Source organism: Homo sapiens, chromosome X (assembly GCF_000001405.40).
Source record: "Homo sapiens chromosome X, GRCh38.p14 Primary Assembly".
In the NCBI taxonomy this organism is placed as follows: domain Eukaryota; kingdom Metazoa; phylum Chordata; class Mammalia; order Primates; family Hominidae; genus Homo; species Homo sapiens.
This window is the reverse complement of record NC_000023.11, coordinates 46,286,095-46,308,257: the sequence shown is the minus strand read 5'-3', so window position 1 is coordinate 46,308,257 and position 22,163 is coordinate 46,286,095. Positions and strand designations below refer to the sequence as shown.

Below are 22,163 nucleotides of genomic sequence, written 5' to 3'. Positions count from 1 at the left end.
GGATCAGAAGCCCTGGGGATGGGGGCCTAGCGAGTTTTGACATGTTCTGCAGGTGATTTTGAAAACTATGGCTTTAAAGTGTGAGCCATGGAGGGAGCTAAGGGGAGGGGAGATATCTTGGCTTTTTTCCTCTGGGGCTCACTATATTTCCTTTCTTGTCCCCTTCTTTATCTGGAAAAAAAAAAGTCAGGGTTGGGGAGGGGAAGAGAAAAGAAGAGAAAAACAAAACTAATCCTTGCTAGTGATATGGGAGGATGGGGAAGTGCTGGTACGGGAAGGGCATGGTCCCTAGCTAGGGCTCCACCCCCGGACCTGTGCCGAACTGACCTAGGTGAGGACAGGCATTTCTGGTTTCCTGCTCAAATGCTGCATTTCCCAAGACCACCCTGGCCCATCATGCCCCCATCCTGTACCTATAAAAACTCTGAGACCCTCGCAGGCAGAGACACAAGCCGCTGGACGTCGAGAGGAACACATTGGTGGAGGAACTCACAGGTGGCTGGATGTCAAGAGGAACACACTGGCGGAAGAGCACACTGACAAGCACCAGCAGACAACGGCACGCTGGGGCACGCCGGCAGGCCATCAACCTGCAGAACGATGTGGAGTTTGGCCTGGGCAGTCGGAGGAGAGTCCAGCTGCTGAGCAGTCCGACTCCAGGAAAAAAACACCTTCCCATTCCATCTCCCTTCTGGCTCTCCCATCTTCTGAGAGCTACTTCCATTCAATAAAACCTTGCACTCATTCTCCAAGCCCAAGTGTGATCTGATTCTTCCGGTACACCAAGGCAAGAAACCCTGGGATACCGAAAGCCCTCTGTCGTTGCGATAAGGCAGGGGGTCTAATTGAGCTGTGTAACACAAGTTGCCTACAGACGGCTAAACTGAAAGAGCACCCTACAGCACACACCCACTGGGGCTTCTGCTGTAAACATTCACCCCAGACGCTGTTGTGGAGTCGGAGCCCCACAACCTGCCGGTCTGCATACTCCTCCTAGAGGTTTGAGCCGCAAGGCACTGAAGAAGCGAGCCACACCCCCATCACATGCCCTGTGAGGGGGACAAGGGAATTTTTCCCATTTCACTAGCAGATGTCAGGAAATGCCCTTCATCCAGCCCCTCAGTTCCCAAATGTTTCCTTTTTCCAGGGGACCTAGTGTTTCAGCTCCAGTTTGCTCCCCTTTGCCCATGTGGTACAGACATCATCAGTCTACTCCTGGATGTTGGGCTTTAGGCAGGAGTCACTTGTTTTTCTTTTTTTTGAGACAGAGTCTCACTGTGTCACCCAGGGTGGAGGGCAGTGGCACGATCTCGGCTCCGTACAACCTCCGCCTCTTAGGTTCAAGTGATTCTCTTGCCTCAGCCTCCTGAGTAGCTGGGATTACAGGTGCCCACCACCACGCCTGGCTAATTTTTGTATTTTTAGTAGAGACGGGGTTTCATCATGTTGGCCAGGCTGGTCTCGAATGCTGACTTTATGATCTACCCACCTCGGCCTCCCAAAGTGCTGGGATTACAGACGTGAGCCATCGCGCCCAGCCAGGCAGGAGTAACTTTTTCTCTCATCTTCCTTCTCTTATTATTAGAGTTAGGCATATTTCCCCTGAAAGGCTCACTTTCCCTGCACTCTTAATATGCCTAGTCCCTTCCTTTTGCTCGTCAGACCTTGAAGTCCTAGCCCCAAGGAAGTAGGGAAAAATGGGATGAAGTGGAAAAGAGTGAGGAGCTACCAAGCAAAATGGGTCCGCCCTGGGATTTGGTGTTCAACAGTGAATAATAATTTTCTGCCAACTTCTTGCTATGGATTTTCATTCAGGTTGTTTTACCTGAAGCATTTTCACAGTCCTGCCATCCTATCCCTACCCAAACTCCAGGAGAGTACTCCTATCCCTCAGCAGTGTACAAGAGTACTCAATAGAAAGGACAGGAGTGTACTCACAAAACCGGTTCAATTGTCCCATATAACTGACATTTACAAGTTTTTTGAATAAACATAGAAGTTGACCTTCCCAGTCTTAAAACTTGGAACTTACATCTCTCTCATCTGAGTTCCTTCCTGATATGGGTTGGCTCTGTGTCCCCACCCAAGTCTCATCTCGAATTGTAATCCCTGCATGCTGAGGGAGGGACCTTGTGGGAGGTGATTGGATCACGGGAGGAGATTCCCCCATGCTGTTCTTGTGATAATGAGGGAGTTCTCACGAGATCTGATGGTTTAAAAGCATTTGGCATTTCTCCCCTCTCTCTCTCTCCTGCTACATTATGAAGAAGGTGCTTGCTTCCCCTTTGCCTTCTGCCAATTGTAAGTTTCATGCCACCTTCCCAGCCATGTGGAACTGTGAGTCAATTAAACCTCTTTCCTTTATAAATTACCCAGTCTCAGATAGTATCTTTATATCAGTGTGAAAATGGACTAATAGACTTCCTCAGGAAACCGACCCTCAGGCAAGGAACTGAAACTCACCAGATCACTGCATCCAGACAATGAGATGCCAGACCCCTCATTCATCATGGCTGCTTCCTTAGCCCTCCCTAATTCCTGTTTTCCTGCCTTTCTTGCTATTTAAACCTCCAATTCTAGTTGGTTGGAAATTTGAGACTTTATTTCCTGTTCTCCTTGGCTGTAGCACCCGATTAAAGCCTTCTTCCCTATCATTCTCTCAGTGATTGTTTTTTTGTGTGGCAAACAGCAGGACCTAGACCAGCCCCTGGTGTTTGGCAGCACTCAGTGTACAGGAGTATTGGTAACACTTAGTGTACAGGAGTACTTAATAGAATGTATAGGAGGAGAAGAATACTCTTTCTTTTTTTTTATTATACTTTAAGTTCTGGGATATATGTGCAGGTTTGTTACATAGGTATACACATGCCATGGTGGTTTGTGGCACCCATCAACCCATCGTCTACATTAGGTATTTCTCCTAATGCTATCCTTCCCCTAGCCCCCCATCCCCCAACAGGCCCCGGTATGTGATGTTCCCCTCCCTGTGTCCATGTGTTTTCATTGTTCAACCCCCACTTACAAGAGAAAACATGTGGTGTTTGGTTTTCTGCTCTTGTGTTAGTTTGCTGAGAATAATGGTTTCCAGCTTCATCCATGTTCCTGCAAAGGACATGAGTTCATCCTTTTTTACAGCTGCATAGTAGAATACTCTTTCTTACTCCTCAGTAGTGGGTAACCCCATCTGTTGCTGAGATTAAATTACCAAATACAAAGCACAACTGAAAATATTAAGCATCCTTTAGGAGGGGAGTGAAAAAAGCTGGGTATGGTTTACCCCCAAAGTGGAATTTTTATTCTCATTAAACATGCAAAGCAAACCAAAAATGAAAAAAGTTTGCCTTTTCCCAACACACTTCTGTGCCCTATACCGCTCAGCACTTACAGCAACTGTCTACTTTAGCGAAAAGTGATTCTATTTCAATGTTTCCCCAGTGAATGGTGATAAGGAATGAAAATTGTATGTGTAAAACATCATATAGAATTTTAAAAGCATTTATTTAAAAAAACCTCTTTATTATTTCAAACAGAATTTCAAACATAGAAAAACGTAGACAGAATAGTATAATGAAAACCCACTGACTCATTACCCAGCTTCAACAACTTTCAACTCATGGGCAATCTTGTTTCATTTATGTCCCCATCTCTATTTTTACCTCCCATATTTTTTGGAAGCAAATCTCAGATGTCATATTATTTTATCTACCAATATTTCAGCATGTATCTCTAAAAGGTAAGAATTTCAGAAAATATACAGCCACAATACTATTATCACACTTAGAAAAAGGTAACAAAAATTCTTTAACATCATCAAGTATCCATTAAGTGTTCAAATTAAAAATTTTCTCATACATAGCGTAAATTATTTGTTTTTTTGGATCAGGGTCCAGATAAGGTCCATACACTGTAATTCGGTTAATAGGCTTTTAGATCTCTTTAAATCTATAATCTCTCTCTCTTCTTGCAACTGATTTGTCATTTAATATGTTCTCTTGTCCTGTGTACTTCCTGTAAAATGTTATTTGAACTAGAGGCTTGATTAGATTTGGGTTTGAGGGTTTTTTTTTTTTTTTTGGTAAGAACACTTTATATGTAGTATTGTATATAGCATATTTCACAAACAAATATTAAGGATTATAGATATATCAGCTATTTTGAGTTACACAAATTCCCATTTTACTTCCATCACAGCAGATTCTTGAGTATCTGTAGTATCTCCAAATGTATTTTAACTCTTCAGAAATTTATGCCTTTTTCTGTAGGAAAAAATTCTGTGTGTGTGTGTCTGCAGCTGTGTTGGGTGGGAGGGCATTAAGCTCTAAACCAGACTAAAGGCCCATTTAGTAAACAGCTAATGCCTTTGCTCTTTTTATTTGCAAATGTTTTTGGAAATGTTTTCCAGAGGTAAAATCTAGCATTAGTCAATCAAACAAAAAGTCATGCAATTTCCATCAGTATTCTAATTCAGAATGTCTAACGGTATTCCCAACAGCAATATGATATTCATCTATAACAATTTTATTTTCTTAATGTTTTCTACAATTTAAATTTCTGTTTATAAAATTAGATGGTCTTTAAGAATGCCATTCAAATCTGATGTTGGCTAATTGTAGAAGAATGCTTCCTAAAGGTTTTGCCTTCCTAAAAGTTTAAGCTGTGGGGAAAAAAAAATGGGTCCAAATTATGTTTGCAAATGAATGTGTATCCATGTTGTCGCAAGAAAACGAAGTAAGATACCAATAATATTTGATCATAAAGGGAAAACAATTATTTGTAAGGCTGATTTAAATTTCTATTAACTTCAAATGTGAGCTTGGAGAAACATTTCCTTAGTTGTATTAATTTTCTATGGTGGCTGTAACAAATTACCAAAAACTTAGTGGCTTAAAGCAATGCAAATTTATTATCTTATAGGTCTGGAGGTCAGAAGTCCAATGTGGTCTCAGTGAACTAAGATCAAGGTGTTAGTAGGGCTGCATTCTTTCCGGAGGCTCTGGGGAGAATTAATTTTCTTGCTTTTTTCAGCTTCTAGGGGCCACCCACATTCTTTGGCTCATGGTCCCCTTCCTCCAGCCTCAAAGCCAAGAGCAGCAGGTTCAATCCTTCTCTATTCGCATCACTCTGACCTCTTGTTCTGCTTCCCTCATCCATTTTTAAGGACTCTTGTGATTACACTGGGCTCACCCAGATAAGCTATGATAATCAACCCTATTAAGGTTGATTAGCAACCTTAAGTCCCTTTGCCATATAACATAATGTATTTGTAGATTGTGGGGATTAGGAAGCCAATGTCTTTGGGCGGGGGGGAGGGGGGCACTATTCTGCCAACCATGCAAGCTAAATAATGTTTGAGATCTTTCCAGATTTAATAAAACCAAATAGCTGGGTTAAATATTTAAGTATATTTGTTTTTGTGACTGGTCTCATTTCTTTGAGTAAGGCTGGATATAAATAAATAAATACATTTGGTTTAAATGCTGTTTTGATATTGAAGAAAAACATGAATCATTATCCTATTTTGTACCAAATAAGAATGAACACAGATCTTCCATCCTTGTTTCTAGTTACTGCCTTCCATTTTTCAGAAGGAAGTAGTTAAGCAGATATCTCTGAGTTTCCAATTTAAAGCACAATTTAAAGCAGACGTTTTCTGTCTTTAGTTTTTAGAAATTTGATTTAAATATATTTGGGTATGAATATGAGTTTATACTATTTGGGTTTTGTTCAGCTTTTTGAATCTGTAGGTTTATGGGTATTTTTAAAAGCAAATTTGGGAAAAATTTAGCCATTATTTCTCTGAATATTTTTTCAACCCCACAGTTTCTTTTCTTCTTTTGGAATTCTGATGATGTGAGTGTTAGATCTTTTGTTATTTTCCCACAGGTCTCTCTCTCTCTTTCTCTGTCCAATCTATTTTCTCTCTGTTGTTCAGATTGGATTCTTTGTTTTGATCTATATTAACATTCACTGATAATTTCCTCTGTCACTTCTATTTTACTATTGAGCCCTTCCAATGAGTTTTTAATTTTGGTCAATATATTTTTCAGTTCTAAAATTTCCTTTAGTTTTTTCTTTATATTTTATATTTATTTGCTGAGATTTTCTATTTTTTAATTTCTTTCAAGAATATTCATAATTGCTTATCGAAGCATTTTTATGATAGTTGTTTTTGTAGATTTTTGCGGATTTTTAACACATATAATCATGTCATCTGGGACTAAAGACAATTTTATTTCTTCTTTCCTAGTCTGTATGCCTTTTATTTCTTACCCTTGCCTTATTGCATTAACTAGTAATTCCAATACAATTTTCAATAGGAGTGGTGAGAGAAGACACCCTTGTCTTGTTCCTGATCTTGGGGGAAAGCATTCAGTCTCTCACCATTAATTCTTAAAACCACCTTTGCAGAATTATAAGTAATGAGAGAAATCTAACATGACTGACTCCACTCCATCTTGTTTCTAATGTCACAAGCTAATTTTTTTTTCTTATACTAGCACAGAGGCCAAGATAACTATGAGAGGAATTTAGTTTACAGTTAAACTTTGAGACAAAGGAAACTGACCCCCTCCTTATTTAAAGATTGATGCCACATTCATAAGGCAAGTTTAAAATTATGGTAGGGGCTTGAACTTTGCTAAAGAATGGGCAGAGTTAAACAATCACCTTCCATTGCTTAGCATGTTTTCCTATAAGTTGCTTACTGCCCCAGAGTCACGTTACTAGGGGTCACAAGATTTCTAACTTCACTAACTACTCCTATAGATGACATCACTATTGTGAAACCTAAAGAACTGGTCTTTGAGATATTTTTCAGATTTAGCATTTTGGTACACCGAGAGATGCCAATCAGATTTTGAGAAGCACCCGCCTCCTGGGAACTGACTCAGCTGCACGAAGCCAGTTTTAGATGCCCCTTGTGATTTCATCCCCAGCTAATCAATTGTTCCAGTTCCTCAGCCCCCTGCCTGCCAAAGTACCCTTAAAAAAATCCTGCCCTCTGAATTCTCAGAAAGACAGATTTGAAAAATTTCTCCCTGTTCTCTTTGCTTGGCCAGCCCTGTGATTAAACTCTTTCTTAGCTGCAACACCTGCTGTTCTCATTGATTTTTTTTCAGGGCAGTGAGCAACAAGAAGCCATCAGGCTGTGACAAATTATGATGTTAGTTATGGGTTTTTGCAGATAACCTTTATTTGGTTAAGAATGTTGCCATGTATGCCTAGTTTGTTGAAATTTTTTAAAATCATAAATGGATGTTAAATTTTGTTGAAAGCCTTTTCTGCATCTGTTGATGTAATCATATGGTTTTTCTTATTTAGTCTCTTAATATGTTTTCAAAAATGTTAATATAGATTTTTGAATGTTGGAGCAGCTTTGTATTCCCGAGATAAACCACACCTTGTCTCGATATATAGTCCTTTTTATCTTCACGGTTGCACTTAAATTGCTAATATTTTGTTTAAAAATTTTGCATCTATAATCATGAGACATAGTCATCTGTAGTGGTCTTTTTTCTTGTAATATCATTGTCTGGCTTTGTTATTAGGATAATGCTAACCTCATTGAATGAGTTGGGAAGTGTTTCTTCCTTCTATTTTCCGTGAGAGATTATGTAGTATTGATATTGTTTCTCTCTTGACTGCTTGGTAGAGTTCATCAGTGAAACCACGTGGGCCAGTAGTTCTTTTTCTGGGAAGGTTTTAAACTATCAATTGCATTTTTTTCAATAGATATTGAGCTATTCAGGTTATCTCTTTCAACTTGAGTGATATTTGGTAGTTTGTGTTTTTCAAGAAAATGACCCAATTTATCTAAGTTATTGAATTTATGGTCATAGTGATGTTCATAGTATTCCCTTATTAAGCTTTTAATGTTTGTGTGATTGGCTGTGAACTCCCTCTCTTATTCCTGATATTGATAATTTGTGTCTTTTCTTTTTTACTTTCTTGGTTAGGCTGTCTAAAGATTTACCAATTTTATTCATCTTTTCAAAAGAGCCAGGTTTAACTTTATTGATTTTCTCTATTTTTTAATTACTTCTTTCCTTCAGGTTGCTTTATTTAATTTACTCTTCTTTTCCTAGTTTCCTAAATTATAAGCTTAGGCTATTGATTTTAGATATTTCTTCATTTCTAATATTTGTATTTGATGTTATGCTATAAATTTCCCTCTAAGGACTATTTTATCAGGGTCCCACTAATTTTTTAATACATTTAAAATTGTGGTACAATGTACATAACATAAAATTTACCATTTTATCCACTTTTAAGTGTGCAATTTAGTGGCATTAAGTACATTCACAATGTTGTACAGCCATTACCACTCATTTCCAGAACTTTTTCATCATCCCAGACAGAAACTTATCCCCATTAAACTCCTCATTTCTTCCTACCCTTAGATGTGCTGACCTCTGTTCTAATTTCTGTATCTGTAAATTTGCCTATACCAGGTACCTCACACAAGTGGAATTATATAATATTTGTCCTTTCATGCTGGCATATTTTACTTAGTACAATATTTTTAAGATTCATCCCTGTTGTAGCACCACAAATCTTTATATGTTGTGTTTTTATTTTTATTTCAGCTTAAAGTATTTTAATATTTCCCTTTAGACTTCTTCTTTTGACCCATGGATTACATAGAAGGGTATTATTTAATTTATTAATATTTGGTGATTTTCCAGATAGTTTTCTGTTATTGATTTCTAGCTTAATTTTGTTATGGTTGGTCTAAAAATGTTATTTGTATAATTTCTATTCTTTTTAATTTATTAAGATTTGTTGTATGTCTCAGAATGTGGCCTATTTTAGTGAATATTCCCTGTGCACTTAAGAAAAATGTGTATTCTGCTCTTGTTGGATGGAGTGTTCTGTAAACGTCTATTTGGTTAAGTTATTTGATAGTGCTGTTCAAATAATGTATATACTTACTGATTTTGTCTGCCTGTTTTATCAGTTATTGAGAGAGGATTGTTGAAGACTTCAACTATAATTGTGGATTTATCTGTTTCTTCTTTCAGTTATATCAATGTTTAACACGCTATTGTTAGGATGTTTAAGAAATCCTCTTCATTTATTTTGAAAATTTGATCTCTTTTTTAATGAGGTAGGGCATCACTAACTAAAGCCATAAAAAAATCTTCTCTTAAACTCAAACTGGAAATGGTGTCTTGAACTTGTGGTTGCTTGGTCATTTTGGTGAACCATTTTGTTGTTTTATCAAATTCTTTTAGGGTTGAAAGGAGTCCAGAAAATGCCTGTCTCATGGAGCTGTCACACGTACAGTTGGTTTTCAAGGCCTTCCTCATGTGGCCAAAACTAAATTTAGGACTAGTGAAGCCAGTTCAGTGGTACAGATTTGCAAAAGTAAGACCCTTAAATGTGTAAAGTTTGTAGCAACTGGTTTATGTCCTGGAAAGGGGCACAGAGACAGTAGCTTTCTTGGGGTCATCAGGGACATTGGTAAAGTGACAGCTTTTATGTGGTTGTTTAGTATGTATGTATTCGTATGTATGTATATATGTATTTGTCTTCCGTTGACTGTAGTCAGCAGCTGCAGACTACAAAGCACTCACAATCTCTCCTCCAGCTTGTCACACAGAGTGTATGTCTTTTTTTTTTTTTTTTTTTAGACGGAGTCTTGCTCTGTCGTCAGGCTGGGATGCAGTGGTGTAATCTCGGCTCACTGCAACCTCCACCTCCCAGGTTAAACCAATCCTCCTGCCTCAGCCTCCCAAGTAGCTGGGACTACAGGTGTGCACCACCACGCCTGGCTAATTTTTGTATTTTTAGTAGAGACGGTGTTTCACCATGTTGGCCAGGATAGTCTCGATCTCTTGACCTCGTGATCCACCCACCTTGGCCTCCCAAAGTGCTGGGATTACAGGCGTGAGCCACTACGCCCGGCCCAGAGTGTATGCCTCTTATACACTCTTATATGGCCTACCAATGTGGTCTGTCCTTGGCTCCAACTCGTTTGCAGTTCTGAAATCCCAGAGTAGGATTCAGACTTCTCTCCAGCTGTGCTGTTCCAACAAGCATTCACAGTGAGTCTTTAGGGCAGTGTCACTGTAGTTTGGGGAACTTTGTCCCTTGAGAAAGATATGTATCTGCTGTTTCATGCATTAAATATGGCTGTAAATTATGTTTTACTTCTCCTACCAAGAGATGGAGACTATTTCCCCTCCTCTTGATCTGGCCTAGTCTGTGACTTGTTTTGATCAGTGGAATACAGAATAAGTGACACTGGAAATTCCAAGGATGGGCCTTAGGAGATCTGCAACTTCTCTTTTTGTATGCTTAGAAGGCTTCCTCTTATAATCCACTTGCTATGTTATGAGATAGCCAAGTTATGTGAAGAGGCCATGTATAAGATGTTCTAGTTGACAACCCCAGCTGAGCTCCCAGCCAATAGCCAACACTAACTGTCACCATCTGAGTGAGCCATTTTGGATGTTTCAGTCTAATCAAGTCTCCAAATGTCTGTAGTCCCAGCAGACACTATGTGGATATGTAGCAAAGAATTAACCTTGCCAAAAGAAAGTTTGGTCCTGATTGAAAAGAGTGTTTTTATTTATTATTTAACCTGGGTGTTACAGGCCACACTCGATTTTTTTTGCAAATAATGTCATTTGTGGTGGGGCCTTGGGCTGTGTAGTATATCAGCTTGAGTTTGGAGGAGCTGTAGAATAGGGTCAGCTGTGTAGGAGCCACGCCTACATTACCAAACCCCAGTAAAAACTCTGGACAGAAAAGCTCAAGTTAGCTTCTCTGGTTGGCAAAATTCCGTGCATATTGCTACACATCATTTCTGGGAGAAACTAAGTGCTGTCCTTATTCTAAACTCCACTGGGAAGGAAAAACTAGAAGCTCATGCCTGGTCTTTCCTGCACTTTGCTCTATCCTTTCACTGTAATAAATTTTAACCATGAATATAACAGCCTTTCTGAGTTCTGTGAGTCCTTCTCATTGAACCTGATGTTGGTGTTGGGACCACTGAATGGCAGTGAAGAAGAAGCACTGTCCAGCGCATTCTAGCCAACCTATGGAATCGTGAGCAACAATAAGTGGTTGTTTTCAAACCACGAAATCTTGGGATAGTCTGTTTTGCTGCAATAGATATCTAAGACAACTGTGTTCTCTACTAGTTGGTAAGATTTCTAAAAGCCAAGATAACTGAATTTCTGCTGTGCTAGCATAGCACCTATTCATTGCCGGCATTCACTAAATATTTGTTAAGTTGAATTGTTAAATTAAAGTAGTTAGAGACATCTTTGTGGACTGAGAGAGACTAATTGGGATGGAAGACTTGGAGAAGAATTGTTTTATTTTCATATATGTATAACTGAAGAGAATCTCTACGCCTTTGCTATGAAATCTAAAGATAATTGCAGTTTTTTAAGGGAGCTATGCTAGTAACGATTCATTCTTTTTCTTTCAAGATAACTGTGTCATGGTGTAAAGAATACTGCTTGGAATATATTGGTTCAAGTCCAAGTTTTGTCTCTGCACACTACTTTTATGAACTTGGGTGAATCTCTTCACTTTACTAAATATCATCTTGAAGCAGTGATAATAATGGTAATCCCATGAGGTTGTTGTGAGGTTTTAATGCATGAAAAAGTGCTTTGAGAACAGTAAAGTGCTATGTAGGTATAAAGTATCATTGTGTGAGTTGATGGGACTTGCTTAAATTTTATTATTTTTAGCTGTTCAATTCCATCATCTGTCATAAATACTTTTAAAATGGACAGCATCTCAATAGCATAAGTAACGTAAAAATCTGGAAAATAACAATACAGCAGCTTTTAAATAGTAGTTTTTTTCCTCTATTTTTCTTACATTATCTCTTCACCACCACGAAGTATTCCTTTCACACTTTTTTTTCAGAAATGAAATGGAGAAAAATAATCAGAAATGGTGGCATGAAACAGGATTTCTTTTCTTCCAAGCATGTGATATCTCCCTGCCACTCCCATTCACCTCTCTTATCAACATGCTTTTTAGTTTAAAAAAGAGCAACTGCAAAGTGTTGACAAGATACTATTTGTTATGCCCATCAACCTTACTGAACTCTGGACCCTTCTTGCTGAGTCAGTTTTGATAATGTCAGATGATGATGCCCCTATCACTTTGGAACTAGTCCACTAGGCCTATGAGAGCTGCTTTTAGGTTCTTCAAGTTCATACCTGCAGCTCAGAGAATAGAATCCAAAAAGGTTGCCAAAGCCTTGCTGTGAACCTTCTTAAAGTTGCTGTAATTTCCCAGGGTCACACCCAGCATACTTCTTTGATGCCATTTATCAAATGTCGGTTGTCTTTCTGGGTCTCATAAGGTGCTAGCTGCCCCTTGCACTTACATGCATCCTATTATGTTTCAATAGGTTTGAGTACTTGTGAGTTTCTGACATAATAGAATGAAAGAAGATCAGAGCAGGAAGATATTTTAGAGATTGGAGCCCTGGCCCAGAAATTGGTTGTTATGATTTGAGAAGAGTCAAAGGTAAGGAGAAATGGCTTATAATAGGAGTGTGTGAGCATGTTCTAAGAGTCCAGCAAGGAAGGGTTTAAACCAGAGCCTGGAGACAGAGTGTTAGGTTCCAGGTATGAGGAGCATGGGAATGAGAGTCAGCCAAAGCAAGCTAATATACCAGATGATAAATTAGCATTAAAAGTATTGTGACAGCCTGGAAAAATTAGCTGAAACAAACAAGAGGCAATTCCAGAAGTGAATAAAAAAACACTTCCTATAGATTCCAAAATCAATTAGGTTTAACAGAAATTCTGTAAAACTCTTAGATTTCAGCTGCCAGGAAGGTGGGAATGAGTCAATCATATGACACCATTATCTGTAATGTGAATGCAGTCTTAGGATGCACGAATTAAACCTAAAATAAGGAAGGTAATGGTCCCACTCTCCCCTGCTTGAGTTATGTGTAGATTGTGTTCTGTTCTCAATGCTCTCTACATATATGTTTTTGAGACAGGATCTTGCTCTGTTGCCCAGGCTGGAGTGCAGTAATGTGATCATAGCTCACTGCAGCCTCAACCTCCTGGGTTCAAGCGATCCTCCCACCTTAGCCTCCCAAATAGCAGGGACTACAGATGCATGCCACTATGCCTGGCTAATTTTTAAAATTTTTTGTAGAGGCAAGGTCTCACTATATTTCCCAGGCTAGTCTGAAACTCCTGGGCTCAAGTAATCCTCCTGACTTGGCTTCCCAAAGTTCTGGGATTACAGGCATGAGCCACCATGCCCAGCCTTCAGTGCCATATTTTAAATTGTATGAATAAATGAGAAGAATATTATATGATGAGAGGTTTAAAAATGACTTCACCTGAGTAATGGTAAGTGGAACGGGGCTAGTTGCTAGATAGTTGAGGAACATAACAGGTATTTTCAATAACTTGAGAAATTGTTAATATGAAAGAAGAATTAGGACTTACTTTTATGGGTCTTCAAGATAGAATTTTGGTAACTGGATGGAAAATGTAATGGGAAAATTAGGGCTCAGCGATATCAAGAACTCTCCAGTGAAAGTTGTCCATAAATGAAGAGGGATATGGTATGAGAGGGGTACACTACTCATTGGGGAAGTGTTCAAAAAGAGGCTGATTGGCCAACTACTAGTAACTCTGGAAAACAGAATTCCTGCCTAGGGGAGAGGTCAAACCACATGCTCTTCAAGATCCCTATCATCTCTTAAGTTTCATGACCCTGTGATCTCCTGCACTAGAGAGAGACATATTGTAGACATTCAGAGATTTCCATTGACAGCCTAGCATTCCAGCTTGCCACACAATTATGCTGTGGGCTGGCCAGAGAAATATCTGGTCTGGCCAGAGTCAGTAGAATGCCACATAACCCAGGCATAAGGTATTGGACTTAAGTGGATAAATTACCACATACTTGGTGGCTTAAAGCAACATAAATTTATTGTCTCACAGTTCTGGAGGCCAGAAGTCTGACATCAAGTTCTTGTCAGGTCCACACTCTCTCAGAAGTCTCTAGTGGAGAATCTGTTCCTTGCCTCTTCCAGCTTCTGGTGGCTCCAGGCATTCCTTGGTTTGTGGCTGCATCATTCCAATCTCCGGTTCTGTGGTCACAATGCCGTCTTTTCTGTCTTCCTCCTCTTTGTGTTGCTTATAAGGCTACTTGTCATTGGATTTAGAGCCTACTCAGATAATCAAGGATGAGCTTCACATCTCAAGATCCTTAATTTAATTATATCTGCAAAAATCCCTTTTTCAAATAAGATAACATTCACAGATTCTGAAAATTAGGACATGGACATATCATCTGAGGACCACCATTCAGCCCACTGTACTCATTTTAATGGTCATTACACTATCGCTATTATCAATAAATAGTGCTTTGCCTGTGGTGGTGCTTAAAGCAGAACAGTCTTGTGAGATTCTCAACACAGTCTAGCGCTTAATAAGCTCACTCTTGGAATCAGAAAGATCTGAGTTTAATTCCAGTTTTGCTACTTAGAAGTGTATCTCTGGCAGGGGCGAACTTCATTTCTGATTCCTCAACTCTAAAATGAGAATAGTGGAACTTATCTCATAGGGTTAATATGAGTAACCAATACAATAATGCTTGTAAATTACTTAACATAGGGCCAGGTATATTGCTGACATTCCACAAGTGGTATTATTAATGACTTTACTCCTTTCCCATGATTTTAGGCTATCTGAGGTGTCAGGCTTTTATCATTCCCTGGAAATTTACATGAAATTAACATATGCTTATTGAGGATTGACTCTGCACCATACACTATCATACATAATAAGTATAAATGGTAAACAAGACAGACATGGTCTTTGCCCTCACAGATCTTAGAGTGTGATGCCATCAATGGTTAATAAAACATGTTAATATAATACAATATTGCCATTATGACAATTGAGGAATTACAGGAACCTGAGAAGTGTATAGACGGGACACCCAACCCAGGCAAAATTCTGGATAGAGGAAGAGGACCTCTGTGTATGGGAGGATACTTATATTTGTAGCAGAGGGGCTGAGTTGCATTCAAAGCCTGATTATGACTGAGGAACTGGTAGTTCCTCAAGCATCTGTTGGCATGTGTTGATTTTACATGGGGGATGTGGGCCTGTGCTCTTTGTTCCTGGAGAGAAAGACTGAGAGATGAGAAGGCAACTTAGTGTAGGTTTTCCAAGGAGTAGGTCCTAAGACAAAGATTTTAGTGCAAATAGTTTATTTGGGAGATAATCCTAAGAAATACCGACAAGAGAGTGGAGGAGTGAGACAGGTAAGAAGAGAGCCAATAAATGGTGCTTTATCAAGCTAGTTACCACCATGGTTAATTAGAGCTCCATTATATTGGGGAACTCTAGAAGCCAATGTAGAACACAAGCAGCGGAGTTATCTACATCTACACTTGTGGGTCATTGGTATGCAAGAAACTTGTCCATAAGCAGGGAAGACAGGCTACTGAAGAAATCTCAGGCAAAGAGATGCAGATGTTGGCAGTTGGCAAGGGCTGACAAGCTATGGGTGGGACAAGATCAGCATGTGATGCAGGAGGAAAACATGGTTTTCTCTCCAGTTTGTTGCCAGGGACAAAGTCCGAGGCCCATGAGCAGAGGGGGATTCTAATTAGAAACTAAAGGAGGTTTTCTCACAAGGGTCTATATATTACTTGGGGGGACAAACAGTGCTTCTTAAGGTCCAGCTGACAAAATGCAGCACCTGGGAAGAGATGCTTTGAACAACCAATGGGTCAATGAAGAAATTAAAAGGGAAATTAAAACTTTTCTTGAGATAAATGAAAATGAAAACACAACATACCAAAACTTATGGGATACAGCAAAAGCAGTTCTAAGAAAGAAGTTTATAACAATAAACACCTATATTAAGAAAGAAGAAAGATCTCAAATAAATAACCTAACCTTGAACCTCAAGGAACTGGAAAGACAAGAAGAAACTAAGCCCAAAATTAGTAGAAGGAAGGAAATAATAAAGATCAGAGCAGGAATAAATGAAATAGAAACTAGAAAAACAATAGAAAAGATAAATGGAACAAAGAGTTGCTGTTTTTAAAAGATAAACAAGGCTGGGGGCAGTGGCTCACGTCTGTAATTCCAGCACTTTGGGAGGCCAAGGCAGGTGGATCACCTGAGGTCAGGAGTTCGAGACTAGCCTGCCAACATGGTGAAACCACGTCTCTACTAAAAATACAAAAATTAGCCAGGCGTGGTGGCAGGTGCCTGTAATCCCAGTTACTCAGGAGGCTGAGACAGGAGGAGAATTGCTTGAACCCTGGAGGCGGAGGTTGCAGTGAGCTGAGATTGTGCCATTGCACTCCAGCCTGGGCTACAGGAGTGACACTTTGTCTCAAAAAAAAAAAAAAAAAAAGGAAAAGAAAAGATAAAATTGACAAACCTTTAGCTAGACTAAGAAAAAAAGAGAGAAGACTCAAATAAGATTAGAGGCACAAAAGGAGACATTACAACTGATACCATAGAAACAAAAGATCATAAGAAATTATTATGAAGAATTATATGCCAACAAATTGGATAACCTAGAAAACAGGTAAATTCCCGGACACATACAACTTATCAAGATTGAAGTATGAAGAAATACAAAATCTAAATAGACTAATTATGAATAAGGAGATTGACTCAGTAACAAATAGTTTCCGATCAAAGAGAAGCCCAGGACATGATGACTTCACAGCTGAATCCTGCCAAACGTTTAAAGAAACAGTAACTTGAAGTCTCAAACTCTTCCAAAAAATTGAAGAGGGGTGATATGGTTTGGATCTGTGTCTCTGTCCAAATCTCATGTCAAATTGTAATCCCTAATGTTGAAGTTGGTGTTTGGTGGGAGGTGACTACATCACAGAGGCAGATTTCTCATGTATGGTTTGTTACATCCACTTGGTGCTGTTCTTGTGATAGTGAGTGAGTTCTTGTGAGCTCTGGCTGTTTAAAAGTGTGTAGCACCTTTCCCCTCTCTCTCTTGCTCCTACTCCAGCCATGTGATATGTGTGCTCCCCTCTGCCTTCTGCCATAATTGTAAGTTTCCTGAGGCCTCCCCAGAAGCTGAGTAGATGCCAGCATAATGCTTCCTGTACAGTCTGTGGAACTGTGAGCCAATTAAATCTCTTTTCTTTATAAATTACCCAGTCTCAGGTATTTCTTTATAGCAATGTGAGAACAAACTGATACCTCCAAACTAATTTTACAAGGCCAGCATTACCACAATACTAAAACCAGATGAGGACACAACCAAAAAAGAAAACTACAGGCCAATATCCCTGATGAATAGATATTTGAAAATCTTTAATAAAATATTAAATTCAACAGCATATTAAAAAGATTATCCACCATGAGCAAATGAAATTTATCCCAGGGATGCAAGAATGGTTCAACATATGTAAATCAGTAAAGGTGATACATCACATTAATACAATGAAGGAAAAAACCATATGATCATGTCAATAGATGCAGAAAAAGCATTTGACAAAATTCAACATCTCTTTATGATAAAAACCCTCAACAAATTAAGTACAGAGGGAATGTACCTCAACACAATATAGGCTATATATTATAAATCCACAGCTAATACACTAAAAGTGGGAAAAGTTGAAAGCTTTTCAAGATTTGGAACAACACAAAGATGCCTACTCTCACCACTTATAGTCAACATAGTACTGGATGTCCTAGCCAGAGCAATTAGCTAAGATAAACAAATAAAAGGCATCCAAATTGGAAAGGAGGAAGTTAAATTGTCCCTGTTTGCACATGACACAATCTTAAATACTGAAAACCCTGAAGATTCCATCAAAAAATGTTAGAACTAATAAACACATTTAATAAAGTTGTAGGATAGAAAATCAACATGCAAAATTCAGTAGCATTTTTATACGTTTATAGCAAACTATCAGAAAAATAAATAAAAATTCCATTTATAATATTTACAAAAATTAAAATACTTAGGAATAAATTTAACCAAGGAGATGAAAGATCTCTACACTGAAAACTAGAAAACATTGCTGAAAAAAAATTGAAGAAGATATAAAAAGGATGGAAAGGTATCCTGTGTTCATGGATTGTAAGAATTAAAATTGTTAAAATGCCCATACTACCCAAAGCAATCTACAGATTCAATACAATTCCCATCAAAATACCAATGACATTCTTCACAGAAATAGAAAAAAATACTAAAGTTTGTATGGAACCATCCAAGACCTTGAATAGCCAAAGAAATTTGGAGCAAAAAAAACAAAAACAAAACACAGAAAAACAATGCAAAGCTGGAGGCATCACACTATCTGACTTCAAAATGTGCTACAGAGCTATAGTAATCAAAACAGCATGATACTGGCATAAAGACAGACACGTAGACCAATGGAACAGAAAAGAGAACCCAGAAATAAATCCACACGTTTATAGCAAACTGATTTTTAATGAAGGTGCCAAGAACATACAATAGGGAAAGGACAGTCTCTTCAACAAATAGTGTTGGGAAAACTGGATAGACACATGCAGAAAAATGAAATTAGACCTTTATCTCTCACTGTATAAAAACCACTCACAAAAACGGTTAACGACTTAAATGTTAGACCCCAAACTATGAAACTTCTAGAAGCAAAAACAGGAGAAAAGCTTTAAGACATTTGTCTGGGCAATGAATTTTCTTTTTTTTCTTTTTCTCTTTTTTTTTTTAACATGACCTCAAAGCACAGGTAACAAAAGCAAAAATAGACAAATGGGATTACATCAAATGGAAAAGTTTCTGCACAGCAAAGGAAATAATTGACAGACTGAAGTGTAAACTAAAATTAAAGTTCTAAGCCCCCCAACTGAGTAAGTGGATCTCCCTCTCAGCCAAGAGGATCCCAAAGAAACCTCAAAAACTAGTTCAAGCCATGACAGGAAGGAGACTGGGGTCAGACATGCCTCATTATACCCTCTTCCTTTTGGAGTTTAGACACAACTCAGCATTACTATTAAAATAGAGATCCTAAGAGTGACAGAAGAAATTCTTTGTAGCAATAAGATAACAACTCCAGACTGTGGAGACTGCATCTTCCTGGCGGGCACAGAGCCTCACCCTCCCCACTCCATCACCAGTCCACACCCACTGCCAGATCACCATGAATGATGATATCACTGCTCTCGTCTTCAACAAAGGCTCTGGCATGTGCAAGGCTGCCTTCATGGGCGATGATGCCCCCCAGTTGTCTTCCCCTCCATCATGTGGTGCCCGTGGCACCAGGGCGTGATGCTGGGCATGGGTCAGAAGGACTCCTACATGAGCGATGAGGTCCAGAGCAAGAGAGGCATCCTGACCCCACCCTGAAATGCCCCATGGAGCACAGCATTGTCACCAAATGGGATGACATGGAGATCTGGCACCATAACTTTTACAACAAGCTATGTGCGGCTCCCGAGGAGCACCCCATGCTGCTGACCGAGGCCCCCCTGAGCCCCAAGGCCAACCATGAGAAGATGACCCAGATCATGTTTGAGACTTTCAATGCCCCAGCCATGTACTTGACCATCCAAGCTGGTATGCCTCTGGCAGTACCACTGGCATCGTGATGGACTCTAGCGATGGGATCACCCACACTATGCCCATCTATGAGGGGTACACCCTCCCCCATGCCATCTTGCCTCTGGACCTGGCTGGCCAGGACCTGACTGACTACTTCATGAAGATCCTCAAGGAGGGCGGCTACAGCTTCACCACCACTGCTGAGCGGGAAATCATGCTTGACATCAAGGAGAAGCTGTGCTACATCACCCTGGACTTCGAGCAGGAGATGGCCACTGCAGCCTCTAGCTCCTCCCTGGAGAAGAGCTAGGAGCTGCTCAACGGCCAGGTCATCACCATCAGCAACCAGTGGTTCCACTGCCCCAGTACCTCTTCCAGCCTTCCTTCCTGGGCATGGAATCCTATGGCATCCACGAAACTACCTTCACCTCCATCATGAAGTGTGATGTGGACATCTGCAAAGACCTGTACGCCAATACAGTGCTGTCTGGCGGCACTACCATGTACCCTGGCATTGCCGACAGGATGCAGAAGGAGATCACTGTCCTGACTTCCAGCACAGTAAAGATCAAGATCATTGCTCCTCCTGTGCATAAATACTCTGTGTGTTTCGATGGCTCCATCCTGGCCTCCCTGTCCACCTCCCAGCAGATGTGGATCAGCAAGCAAAAATACCAAGAGGCCGGCCCCTTCATCACCCACAGCAAGTGCTTCTAGGCGGACTGTTACTTAGTTGCATTACACCCATTCTTGACAAAAACCCAACTTGCCAGAAAACAAGATGAGATTGGTGTGGCCTTACTATTATTATTATTATTATTATTATTTGTTGTTGTTGTTGTTGTTGTTTAGCTTGACTCAGGATTTGAAAACTGGAAAGGTGGAGGCGACAGCAGTCAGTTGGAGTGAGCACCCCTCAAAGTTCTACAATGTGGCCAAGGACTTTGATTGTACATTGTTCTTTTTTTAAATAGTCATTCCAAATATCATGAGATGCATTGTTACAGGAAGTCCCTTGCCCTCCCAAAAGCCACCCCACTTCTCTCTAAGGAGAATGCCCCAGTCCTCTCCACACAGGGGAGGTGATAGCATTGCTTTCATATAAATTATGTAATGCAAAAAATGTTTAATCTTCACCTTAATACTTTTTAAATTTTGTTTTATTTTGAATGATCAGCCATTGTGATCCCCCTTTTTTGCCCCTCAACTTGACGTGTATGAAGGTTTTTGGTCTTTCTGGGAGTGGGTGGAGGTGTGGAGGCAGCCAGGGCTTACCTGTACACTGACTTGAGACCAGTTGAATAAAAGAGCACACCTTAAAAAAAAAAAAAGATACTAACTCCAACCTTACTCTGGTATAACATCACATGACAGATAACAGGCCCTAAAGGAAATCAAAGTATTCTATCCTAAAATATGTTTCTTTGACATATTTTGAAATGGCCCTGCAAAACCATCTCTTGTGGGGGAAATCTACATTCTGTAGAGAATGCCCTTCCCTTTCCAGGTCTTTTCCTGTTCCAGGAGAGAATTAACTAAGAGTCTGACACCTTTTAAGGTCCAATAAGAAACATTCACCACCTATTCTTTCTGTAGCCTGCTACCTGGAACCTTCATCTATATCACAAGAATCTTGGATTCCACAACCACCTCCTTACCTTAAGTCAAGTTGACTTTAACTCTTCAGGCAGAGATTAACTCCTTCAACCAATTTGCTAATCAGGAAAACCTTTGAATGTACCTATGACCTAGAAGATCCCCTGCTTTGAGATGTCCCACCTTTGTGGGCAGAACCAATGTATACCTTGCCTATATTGATTTATGTCTTTGCCTATGACTTCTGTCTCCCCAAAATGTATAAAATCACCTTATAATCCTACCATCTTGGGCACATATTCTCAGGACCCCCTGAAGCTGTGTCATGGGCCATGATCCTTAATCTTGGCAAAATAAACCTCTAAATTGATTGAGACCTGTCTCAGATACTTTTTGATTTACAGAAGATACAACCTAAAGAACGGGGAAAATATTTGCAAACCATACATCTTATAAGGGGTTAATAACCAAAATTGTAGGGAACTCTAACAAATCAATAGCGAAAATACAAGAAATCTGATTTTTAAAATGAGCAAAAGACCTAATGTATTAGTCCATTCTCACACTGCCATGAAGAAATACCCAAGACTGGGTAATTTATAAAGAAAAGAGGTTTAATTGACTCAAGTTATGCATGGCTGGAAAGGCCTCAGGAAGCTTACCATCATGGCAGAAGGCAAAGGGGAAGAAAGGCACCTTCTTCACAGGGCAGCAGGAAGGAGATGTGCTGAGCAAAAGTGAAAAAGCCCCTTATAAAATCATCAGATCTCGTGAGAACTCACTATCACGAGAACAGCATGGGGGTAATCGCCCCCATGATTCAATTACCTCCCACCAGGTCCCTCCCACAACACATGGGGATTATGGGAACTACAAGATGAGATTTGGGTGGGGACACAGCCAAACCATATCACTTAAATACGCATTTTTCAAAAGAAAACATACAAATGACCAACAGGTATATGAAAAAATGCTCAACATCACTAATCATCAGGAAAATGAAAATCAAATCCACAATGAGATAAGCTCACACCCGT

General features: G+C 39.6%; 1 pseudogene; it reads left to right on the top strand.

The window, feature by feature from the left end:
• Positions 19,052-20,442, top strand: ACTBP1 (ACTB pseudogene 1; annotated as a pseudogene).
• The last annotated feature ends 1,721 nt before the right edge of the window (positions 20,443-22,163 follow it).